General features: G+C 46.5%; 1 protein-coding gene across 3 annotated transcripts in view, besides 3 other annotated features; it reads right to left on the minus strand.

Annotated features, from left to right (window-relative positions):
- The window catches only part of TBC1D8 (TBC1 domain family member 8), a 144,155-nt gene that overhangs the window by 101,309 nt on the left and 30,767 nt on the right, over nt 1-12,079 (minus strand). The window lies entirely within an intron of this gene.
- Nucleotides 1,100-4,494: an enhancer, noted in NCBI's record as "VISTA enhancer hs1933". NCBI's record gives its function as "enhancer in: heart[5/9]" and the evidence as "EXISTENCE:transgenic organism evidence [ECO:0001131][PMID:17130149]".
- Nucleotides 1,311-1,605: a silencer, noted in NCBI's record as "tiled region #6519; K562 Repressive non-DNase unmatched - State 21:Repr". NCBI's record gives its function as "represses a minimal TATA promoter and a strong SV40 promoter by Sharpr-MPRA in K562 cells {active_cell/tissue: K562}" and the evidence as "EXISTENCE:reporter gene assay evidence [ECO:0000049][PMID:27701403]".
- Nucleotides 1,793-2,292: an enhancer, noted in NCBI's record as "H3K4me1 hESC enhancer chr2:101726791-101727290 (GRCh37/hg19 assembly coordinates)". NCBI's record gives its function as "activates a minimal SCP1, AML or CMV promoter by ChIP-STARR-seq in primed H9 embryonic stem cells {active_cell/tissue: H9 hESC(primed)}" and the evidence as "EXISTENCE:reporter gene assay evidence [ECO:0000049][PMID:30033119]".

The following is a 12,079-nucleotide window of genomic DNA, read 5'->3' on the forward strand; positions in this document are numbered from 1 at the left end:
CCGAGGTCTGCTTGCCCTTTCCAGCTTCTGAGACCAACAACTTTACTTGGCTCGGGGCCCCTTGCTCCATCTCCAAGACCAGCAACATCAGGCCAAGTTCTTCCCACACTACCAACTCTCTGGTCCTCTCTTCAGATCCCCTCGTCCAGTTATAAGAACCCTTGTGATCACATTGGCACCCCACCCTCCCCACCCACCATTACTCCAGGATAATCTCCCTATTTTAAGGTCAGCTGATAAGCAACCTTACTTCCATCTACTACCTTAATGCTCCTTTGTCACGGGGACCTAACATTCACAGGATGGAGCCTTTATTCAGCCTACCACAATAATGTAACAATATCAGTTCATTAATTGTAACAAATAGGCCATACCACTACAAGTTGTCAGTAGCATGAGAAACCAAAACCAGGTATGGGGTATACCAGAACCCTCTGTACTGTCCTCACAATTTTTCTGTAAATCTAAAACTGTTCTAAAAAATAAAGTTTATTTTTTTAAGAAGTGTCAAGGAAAATCAAGTCAATCAGTGCCCACCTGCAGAGAAGCGGGGGAGAGTGACCCCCACATCTGTGCAAATGCTAACTGCCCCCATAGGAAACCAGGGTTGGGGTGGGGGAGTCGCATGAAACCAGGGGGTAAACTAGAGCATTCAGGGTGGAACCACCCACGGTACAAAGGACCAGCACCACAGAGGAGATGCAAAGCTGGCAGGCAGGGCAGTGAGTGTCCCTGGCACAACTCTGCAGACAAGGGGAAGATACGGGTGAGAAAAGAAAACTCAGGAAGAAAGAACTACCCATAAGTTTTTGTTGAATGGGCAAACAAAAAACGGTTAACATGGCAAAGAATGCCTTCAACATTATCAGAAAATTGGATAACATGTCTGCAAATTTCAAACGGGTCAAAGACAAAAATATATACATATATACACATAGAGAAAGCAACTATACGGAAAAATGTTAATGCATGCTCCCACAACAGCGTGCAGCCCTACTTAGTCCGTCCTTTTATAAGGAAGCTGAAGATAACTCACAAGGAGGCCTTTGGGCAATACTTATGAGCAGGGTCATAAAAAAAAAATACTGCTGTTCTTCCTACCCACGTGCATGTTTTCTCATCTGATCCTCCCACCACCTTTCCGCAGATGGGATGAAGCAGCTGAGGCCCTGAGCACTGAGAGATGATGCCGGGCCTCCCCAGCCCTGGCTCCAGAGCCCACGTTCTCTTCTACTGGGTGAGGACTGGTTAGAGACAGGCAAACACTTATTTTTAAAAATACTACATCATTTACAAACCTACAGTTCCATCTACATTCAGACTGACTTTCCCTCCACAAGCCCAAACCGGCAAACTCTTTGCTGCATCTCCAGGAATGAGGCCCCACTCAAGGGCTGCAGGGCCGCCACCTCGTGCATCCTGCTTTCCTTTCCGCAGCAGTTCCATATGGCTTGTCTGGCGCTACAGGAAAATCCTCCTGGCGTCTCAGCGAGCACAACACTCCTATTTTTAGGCTCTTAGAATAACAACTCTGGCTGAGATAGATGTCAAGTGACAAGTTTTATAATTAGGGCCCAAATAGAGGCCTACTAATAATTTGCTTCTAAGCAATAGTGCAGCAATTCTTTCATTCTGGCTGGATCTGATGCACAGTGATGGTACTAAGTCTGAGACAAAATGACAGCTACTGATTCAGGGCAAACAGGGGTACTCAGAGAAGCCTTCCCATGGCTTAATGGTTTTTATAACCACTGTGTTGGGCCTTGTGCTAACCACAGGCAGTGGTGGCAGAGTGCTCTGCTCTCACCAATAATAGTACCATAGCACAATAAAACCCGTTTTTAAGAAACAGTAACACCCATCCCTCTTCCCCGCCCCACTCCCACCTACATTAAAGAAAGTATGCCTTCCCTAACAGCTTTGGGCCCAGAAGTACATCTGAGCAGCTCAATGATGGAAAACGTTATTACTGGAGTAATAGAAGGACTTCTCACTATACACAAGCCGTTAAACAGTGATGGCTCCTTCACGGTACACCACAAGCCACTGTGGGGAAACCAGCTGCACTAGATAGCTGTCTTCATGCTAGGGCTGTTTGCTTTGGCTGCTGTCACTGTTTTTGAGGGTTAGAGAGAAAAGCAAATAAAGAACCAGAACAGGCCAGGCGCGGTGTCTCACATCTGTAATCCCAGCACTTTCGGAGGCGGGTGGATCACCTGAGGTCAGAAATTCAAGACCAGCCTGGCCAATATGGTGAAACCCCATCTCTACAAAAAATACAAAAAAAATTAGCCGGGCAGGGTGGCACACACCTGTAATCCTGGCTACTTGGGAAGCTGAGGCTGGAGAATCACTTGAACTTGAACCCGGGAGGTGGAGGTTGCAGTGAGCCGAGATTGCGCCACTGCACTCCAGCCTGGGCAACAAGGGCAAAACTCCATCGCAAAAAAAAAAAAAAAAAAGAACCAGAACAAAGAGAAAAACTTTTATTCACGAAAAGTCACAAATAACCGAAAAAGACCACATGAAGTCCTTTCTAATGACTAGTAAAAAGAAAAGAAAAATGTTGGGGAAATTTGCATTGGCAACATGAGAAATCTACCTATTCAAAGTAAAATTCATAATCCAAATTATCCAACTTTTGAATATTGTTTTTACAAAGCATTTCATAATTCAATATCACTCTTAATGAGAGCTCTTATGATCCCCACGAATTCCCACTAAACCAAGAGATGACTGCTATTTTTCAGGGCGTGCAGCAGAGCAGCGGACAAAGCTGCAGGGCGACCATATCACGCAGGATGCTCCGGCGGTGGCAACCTGAGAAGCTCACCGTTTATAACTAAGCAGACAACATGCGCGGTCCTGTGCCCATCATGGCTGGTGGAACGAGCCTGCCGAATCCACAACACGAATGCCTGAGTGTGTGCGCGAGTGCAGGTCCGGAGGAGCATTTCAAGGGCATTGCAAGGGAGGGATGCTGGCCCTCGTTCTCAAGAACAGAATGAGCAGTCACCTGCACATGGTGCCCCAGATACATGGGAATGATGACATCCACACAATGGTCCTTTGCTTTCTCAGGAAACCAAGAGAGGACAATGGGTGTGGCTGCTAGCCTCAGGTGTCTGGAGCGAGTTACGCTACCTGGACTGACTGTCTGATTCACACTGAATTACAGGAGGGAGAAATTGGTTTGAGTCTTCACTCAAAACCTGAAAATTCTTTATTGGGTGCAGAGATTCAGTTTTGCAGGATGAAAAGAATCCTGAAGATGTCTGGTGGTGATGCTGGCACAGCAATGCAAATGTACATAATGCCACCAAACTGTACATTTAACAGTGGTTACAATGGTCAAATGTTGTGTACTTGACCATAGTTTTAAAAAAAAAAAAAAAACCTGTGAAATTCTAGTGGTCAGAGATTTCTGCAGTTGAGCTCCTAATGTAAATAAAAAAACAACTTTTCCTAACCTCATCCCCAAGCAACGAATCATAAATCCATCTGAACACAGATGTGCTCTGGGTCCACATTGCTCACCCCTGACACAGTCCTCTAGCTGCTCCATAAATAACCCCTGGATGGGGACCAAGTCATCTGCTTTGCCTCAGACCAAACGTAGGGGTCCTGTTGTATTGAGCCTCCAAGCAGGGTGATATCATGCTCAAACACATGACAGCAAGAACCCTTAGCATCACAGCAGCCAGCTCCAAACCCAGTCACTGCTGTGTCTTTCTCACACTTGTTGCTGTGGCTTTAAAGAATACAGTTCTGTGGAAACTCCCCAGCGAATCTATCCACTTGGCCATCCATTGATCTAAGGTGGTCTCCTGCCATGATGGTTATGAAGAGCAATTAGATTTCATTTCTCGTCGTGAACAGATGATTCAAGTCTATAAAATGAAAGGCCAGGGCCATAATGGGAGAAGGAAAACCAAGATGTCACAAAGAGCTTGGCTTTAAGATCTGATACAGTCTTCAAATGAAATGCCAGGTGCCAGAGACATCAGGGTTAGACTGGAACAGCCTGGTCCACCTCCGCTGCCAAACGCAGGACAATCCAGGACTATCCACAGCTCTTCCCTGGACGTTGAGGTGCCATTCTCAGTCTCCCAAAGGCCATGAATGGAGGCCTGACTGCTCAGGGTATTGGCCACTCACGGTCCTGATGGTTCCAACTTTGTGTAACCCGCCCTTACCTTTCTTTTGGGCTCTTTCCAGACATGCCCATTTTAATCCCAAACCTTCCTCCCTTAGAGACCAGTAGCCCCTAACTCATGAAGACTAGAACAATATGACACTATGTTGTAATCAAACGTAACGGCACAGGCAGCACTCTTTTGCCAGTTTCTGCTACGTCAAAAGAACCCTTGCTGAAACATTTCTGACTACTTCTCCATTTCATTGAGACAGTATCTGCCTTGGGTCAAGTACTTTAACAGCCCAGCGCACTCTGATACCCGTGCAGGCTGTAACACAAGACTTCCCATCTGAGTCTGAATAACGTATCACTTTTGACATCCCATTTTAACAAGTCCAACAGGTATTACCTGTACTCCCAAAATCACATCAAGAGAACCAGTTATAAAGAATATCTTTCCCAAAAACCTTCCCTAATAAGGTCTAATCTCAATTTGTCCTCCTAAAAGCAATTTTTCCTGTTGATTCCAAAATTAATCCATTTTTGTTATAGAATTTTGGAAAACATATAAAACCACAAAGAAGAAAACTAAGCTTAATCGCTCATCTTGCCACTCAGCAATAACTAATTGGTATATGTCCTTCTAGCCTCTTTCCTTACTGGCCATAGATTTAGACAATTCAGTTCCCACACAGGATACTGAGAATTGGAAGTTAAAAAAAAAAAAATCAACAAAACAAAAACAAGACTGAACATGAAATACTAAGATTTCTTGTTTCATGATCAGAGACAGCTGCAGAAAGGCTGTTAAACTTGTTCAGCGAGACTCACAGCCCATGATGCACAAATCAGTTTCCCAGCCAGATTTAATCACAAATACCGCCTGCAGCCTGACAGCCCTGTATGCTACTGTTACAGACACAATTCTACCTCCACCTTGCAAACCACACTCTTGTTTAATGGCCCTGTACATAATAAAAGGCAGGAAATGGAGTTTGGAGGCACTCCTGGATCAGAGAAAAACATATAAATAAGACAACGCAAGAGTGCCTCCTTTGCAAAATGGAAATCAATATGAGAGGCAAAGGGGTCAGTGAAGGAAGACAACTCCATAGGCTCAAGTTCAAAATAAAAAAACGGTTGCTCTGCGGCGGATTCCGGCTCCTCACGCAGGAAGAGCTCCCCAGGGAGCCTGTAAAACTGCAAACAAATCTTGAAAAGGAATGAGTCTGCCTGTTTCATCAGGCTCACCAAGCTACATGCATTTCAAGACAGCAACTCTTGTGCAATTCCTAAAACAAGCAACTATCTATTGAACACCCACTACGTGCTCAGGACACTCTAGTTGATTAATCTTCCCCTAGGGGAAGGATGAATCATTTGCAAACTGCAGCCAGTGAGGCCACAGTGGGTTCCATTCATCTTGAAAATGTGCAGGTATATTAAAAACAGTCAGGCTTAGCACAAAAGTGTTTGGCACGACTGTTTCCAACACCCTTTACAACCTTTGCTGTAAAGCTCATATTTACTTGATTTTTATGTCAACATTTCTATCTTTGATAACAGAGGCATAAAATTATATCTAGTTTGCTACAACTAAATGTCAGATATTTACAAACTACAGAAGCTTTCTCAAGTGCACATATAAGGGGGTGCAAGGGTAAGGGCTGGGATCCTTTATCGGTTCGCAACACCTGGCATAAATACCTGGTTCCTGCTGTGCCCTCAATAAATATTTGTTTAATTAGCCCTTTCAGTAAAATAAATTCAAAGAACCCAGTTGTTTAAACTCACTTACAGGAAACTTTTTCCGTATGCTCCAAGTACCTGGAGTTTTGTTCACTGTGGATTCTGATCTTGAAATCCGATTACTCAAAGCCTGCCATATGTCCTTCAGTAATTTGCAACACAACAGTTACATGGTTCTGTTACAGTACCCTACTAATCTCATCCTGGACTGGGCAGAAGACACTGTGTCAGTAATTAAATTTATATCACGGACTAAACAGAGTTTCTTTTTGTTTTTACTTTGTTCTGGTTTTAGAAAGAAGCACACAGTGCAGACATTTCAGCAGGTACTAAAAGTGTACTCTCAGACACTGTCTTCTCTTCTGTAGGGTCATTCATATGGGAATTTAACCATTAATTCTAAAAAGCAGAGAAAGTAGGAGAGTAGGGCAAGCTAGAGGTAAGGAAGGCAAACACCCAGAACAGGGGTGCCACCCCACGGAAATAAGGAAGTGCAGTTGGCCCCATGGTCCCTGGTCTGACTTCCCCATAAAGTGACAATACATAGAGCTAGTCTGTAAAACACTGCCAACTGGTGTGTTTCACAGAACCTGTCGCTTTCTCCAGCTACCAAGAAAGCTTTGGATCGGGGCTCAGTCACGTGCGGATCCCAACAGTGTCCAAGATAGAGACAAGGAAGAAAGGGAGTAAGGATAAAATGACAGCTCATTCTCTCTCTAAGGCTATCACACATTATGACAGACAGCGGTCACCCAATCTATCTTTAGAAAATCTGTCCTTTTGACCCAAGATGCATCTCCGCCAACATCCACAAACAGACAACCTGTGGGAAGAACAGACGTGGAGCCAGTAATTAGAAAAAAATCAAATGAAATTAAAATTTAATAAGATGGAGTGGAGGAGACTTAGCAGGAGCAATTTACTTCCTCAGACTCATGGACGTCTCTTTATTAGCAGGAGTTTTCTACTGGGAATTCTGATCTTGAAATCTGATTGTTCAATGCCTTCCATTTAGGGGAAGTTGCAGCCTTCAAGATTCTGAATCTGCCAGGAGCAGTGGCTCATGCCTGTAATCCCAGCACTTTGGGAGGCCAAGGCAGGTGGATCACTTGAGGCCAGGAGTTCAAGACCAGCCTGGCCAACACAGTGAAACCCCATCTCTACTAAAAATGTAGAAATTAGCTGGGGTTGGTGGTCCATGCCTATAATTCCAGCTACTTGGGAGGCCAAGGCACAAGAACTGCTTGAACCCAGGAGGCAGAGGGTGCAATGAGCCGAGATTGTACCACTGCACCCCAGCCTGGGTGACAAAGCAAGACCTTGTTTCAAAAAAAAAAAGATTCTGGATCCTTGAGACAAACCAGTACACAGTACTTGTTTGCAAAATGCTCTGGCAGTGGTAGTGATGGAACCGGACCATCACCACCAGGGCCCCAGACATCCCATGACCTGGATCTGTTACGCACACGCCAGCAAGGCCAGCCACCAGGAGAAATGGGGCAAGTCTTCATCAGGTAAGGCTGACAACATAAAAGGATTCCAGGAGACCAGCAACATTCAGCAGGGTGCTGATTATTACCAAAGCTCTAAAAACCTCCTCTTAATTCCATTTAAAATATGCTTAAGTTGTTATAGCTATAAGAACGGAAACAAAAATAAATATAAGAAAAATCTCCACCAATCTTACCCCCTCAACAAATCAAACCAACTTCATGTTTCCAAGTTTCTTTCTGGTAATGGGTGAGGAGGCAGGGAAGTACTATCTTAGTATTTGACTGGTTGCCCACAGATGCATAATGTCCACAAGGGCCCTGAGAATGCCCAAAAGACATATGGACTCCAGTCCAAGGAAGTCACAAAAGAACCTATGTTTGGTCTAACCTACAGAAGTTGTACACTGCTCTAGAGTCACAATCCTCACTCTGCTCTGTATCAGCTGTGTGGCTTGGGTAAGTAGCCTCACCTCTCTCAGGCTCAGCTTCCTCATGTGTCCAACGGGGATCATCCCCACCGCACTGGTCTGCGTGGAGATTAAACAAGCAGGTGCAAAGTCCCTGGCCCACTTGCCTCTTACAGGCTGAATTTTGGAAGGGGCCAACTCGCCCCTTCCAAAAAAGATACATTGAAATCCTAATCCCCCATACCTCAGAATGTTACCTTATTTTAAAACAGGGCCACATTGAAGGTGTGATGTCAGTTAATATTAATTAAAAGTAGTGAATTTTTTTTTTTTTTGAGACAGAGTCTCCCTCTGTCCCCCAGGCTAGAGTGCAGTGGTGCAATCTCAGCTCACTGCAGCTTCTGCCTCCTGGGCTCAAGCAATTCTCCCTGCCTCAGCCTCCCCAGGGGCTGAGATTACAGGCGCACACCACCATGCCCAACTAATTTTTGTATTTTTAGTAGAGATGGAGTTTTGCCATGTTGGCTAGGCTGGTCTCGAACTCCTGGTCTCAAGTGATCTGCCGCCTCAGCCTCCCAAAGTGCTGAGATTACAGGTGTGCACCACCATGCCCAGCCGAGAAGTGAAATTTAATGTTATTTAAGATGAGGTCATACTGGAGGTGGTAGGCCCTTAATCCAATGTGATTGGTGTCATCACGAGCAGACGGCCACTGAAGACACAGACACACAGGGAGAGCACTGTGTGATGACTGAGGCAGGGATTGAGCCATGCAGCTGTGAGGAACCCCAAAGCATGCCAGCCAACCCCCAGAACCCCAGGCAAGGCAAGGAAGAACTCCCCTACAGGTTTCAGAGGGAGCATGGTGGACAAGCTGACTTTGGACTTCTGGACAACAGAACTGTGGTTTTGTTTTCAGCCACCTAGTTGGGGATCAGCCCTTAGAAACTGAGACAATGCCCAACTCAGGCCCTGGCTCTTTTCCACGCACAGAGTGAGAGAGCTTTAAATATACAAAGAGATGGCTCTCCAAAGCCTCCCACAATAGACTGACCATCTCACCCAGCCAATCTTTCTGGACCCAAAGTGGATTTCGTAACCAATTTCTATTTACTAGTCATTAACGTTGCTATTTACTTTACCTATTCCCCTGACCTGTCAATAATCTAAGTCCAGTAAAGGGCAGATTCAGCGGGGAGGCACTCATATGTTCAAGGCCTATGACAGTTGGTTAGGAGGCAGAACTTTTTTTTTTTTTTTTTTTTTTTGAGACAGAGTCTCGCTCTGTCGCCCAGGCTGGAGTGCAGTGGCGCCATCTCGGTTCACTGCAAGCTCTGCCTCCCGGGTTCACGCCATTCTCCTGCCTCAGCCTCCTGAGTAGCTGGGACTACAGGCGCCCGCCACCATGCCTGGCTAATTTTTTTTGTATTTCTAGTAGAGATGGGGTTTCACTCTGTCAGGCAGGATGGTCTCGATCTCCTGATCTTGTGATCCGCCCGGCTCGGCCTCCCAAAGTGCTGGGATTACAGGCGTGAGCCACCGCACCCGGCCTTTTTTTTTTTTTTTTTTTTTAACCTTTAAAAAGAGTGACCTCCTTCTAATTTCTCCATACAGAAGGGGGTGGGAGGACGGCCTCTTGCAGGGACACTGGAAAGTCATCTCTCAGTAACTTCCTCCTCCTTGACATGAACACAATGCTGGTTTGCTGAAGTTCCTGAAATAGCAAATGCCACTCTTATCACATCCATCATCAACCATAAAGTCACGAATGAGTGAGGACTGAGCTCCCTTCAACATGGGGAGGGGACTGCTTGGCAACACAGCCAGACCGCCATGTACCCTAGGTCCTACCTCCAGAGCCCTGGGTTCTAATGGGCCAGGTTGGGGCCTGGCTTTCAGTACTTTTTTTTTCATTTGTATAAATTTTGGGGGTCCAAATGCAATTGTACGTAGTGCTGGAAGTCCTAGCCAGAGCCACTGGGCAAGAGAAAGGAATAAAAGGAATCCACATTGGAAAAGAGCAAGTCCAATTATCCCTGTTGGCTGACAATATGATCTTCTATCTAGAAAAGCCTAAAGACTCCACCAGGTAGCCGGGCACAGTGGCTCATGCCTGTAATCCCAGCACTTTGGGAGGCCAAGGCGGGTGGATCACAAGGTCAGGAGATCGAGACCATCCTGGCTAACACGGTGAAACCCTGTCTCTACTAAAAATACAAAAAAATTAGCCAGGCTTGGTGGCAGGCACCTGTAGTCCCAACTACTCGGGAGGTTGAGGCAGGAGAATGGCGTGAACCCGGGAGGCGGAGCTTGCAGTGAGCCGAGATGGCGCCACTGCACTCCAGTCTGGGCGACAGAATGAAACTCCATCTCAAAAAAAAAAAAAAAAAACTCCACCAGGCTGGGCACAGTGGCTCACGCCTGTAATCCCAGCACTCTGGGAGGCCAAGGCCATCAGATTGGCTTGAGTCCCCACGAGTTCGAGACCAGACCGGGCAACATGTTGAAACCCCATCTCTACGAAGAAAATACAAAAATTAGCTGGGTGTGGTGGCACACAGCCTATGGTCCCAGCTACTTGGGAGGCTGAGGTGGGAGGGTCACTTAAGCCTGGAGGCAGAGGTTGCACAGAGCTGTGACGACACCACTACACTCCAGCCTGGATGACAGACTGAGACCCTGTCTCTGCCCCCCCAAAAAAAAGACTCCACGAAAGACTCTCAGATTTGATAAATGAATTCAGTAAAGTTTCAGGCTACAAAGTCGTCATACAAAAATCATAGCATTTCTACACACCAATAACAATCTAGCTGAGAATGAAATCAAGAAGGCCTCAGAATTTTTAAGGCTCCTCAAGCAGTTCCCATATGGAGAAACATGGGCAATGCATGTTTGCCAGTAGCTATTCCACATAAACCTTCAACTAAGTCCCCCTGGCCCTCCATGTCTCCCCAACATGAAGCCCCCTCCAGCCAACAGGGGAACAGTATCAGTGAGATACAAACCACCCTACTTACGGATGGCTCCACACTTTACCTGGTACCCACCCCCTTCTGACTCAGGAGCCTGTGCCTCCTCTTCCACCCTAAGTGTCCCATCTCTACTCCTTTGCTTCCCCTCCCACCAGGTTCAGAAGAAATGAGAACCCCTCTGACTCCTTTCCTTCTAGATGTGGTTGCATTAACTCCCTGGATTTCCTTCTAGAGCAGGGGTTCTCAACTTTGGCTGCAGTGCAGAGCCGGCCTGGGCCCCACTCCAGAGTCTGATGTCATTGGTTTGGGGTGCTGCCTGGGCACGGGCATTGTCACAGGATCCTCCATGACTCACTGTGCAGCCAAGACCAGGACCACTGTTCTAGGATCTTCTCTTGTTCCCTCTTCCCTAAGGCTCTTGACTCTGCCACTATGTCTGCCCTTAAGCTGCAATTTCATTTCTGTAGTTACTTTCACCTTGAAAATTACAGAGAAGCAGAAGGCACCTGCTGCCCCTTTCTTCTTTATCCATTGCATCTAGCCTCCATCCAGACAGTTCTTCTACAGCAGGTCCTTGAAATGACACCAATCAAATATTCCAGCCTTAGCTCTCTTATCTGCAACATGAAGATAATAGTCTCTCCTGCTGATGAAGGTGATGAATTTGAAGATGCTCCCTCCACAGAACAGGCAAAATAACCCAAGTGAGCCAGGAGCCCAAGAGAGCTAGATCTCCCTCATGCCTTCACTCCATGTCCATCCCCACAGTGCAGAGAGGGTCCCTGACTCCACCACCACCAACACCGAGGTGGGGGTGGCAACAAGGACGCTCCATCATCCAAAAGCCAGCTCCTCAGACCAGGACAGAGAGCAGCTTGAAGACCCCCTTCACATCTTGCCCACAACACACTGGAGAGTCATCCTGATCCTTCTGCCTCTTTGGCCGCTGCTCCCAACTCAAACCATCTCTCATGTGCCCGGCCTTCCCGGTGCCCACCCTTCCTGGTGCCCAAAACATCTTAGGCTGAGCTGTGGGTTGCTCCACTGGTTCTCAATCCTGCCTGAGCTCTGGAATCCCCTGGGGAGCTTTTGAAATCCCAATGTTAGAGATGCTAGTGGTCTGTGGTCCGGCCTGGGCTACTGACAGTTCTCCAGGCTCTCACCTGTGTGGCCAAGGGTATGAACCACTGTGTCTATCCTATTATTTGCACAACGAAGCAGGGACCTTTGTTATCTGATGCATCTGCCAGCTAAAATCTGCCTAGGAAAACATAAAGTACAGGCAGGAAAAAGCCAGCCTACGTTTAGGAAGAAACTACC

The sequence above is a fragment of the Homo sapiens genome, chromosome 2 (assembly GCF_000001405.40).
Source record: "Homo sapiens chromosome 2, GRCh38.p14 Primary Assembly".
NCBI lineage: Eukaryota > Metazoa > Chordata > Mammalia > Primates > Hominidae > Homo > Homo sapiens.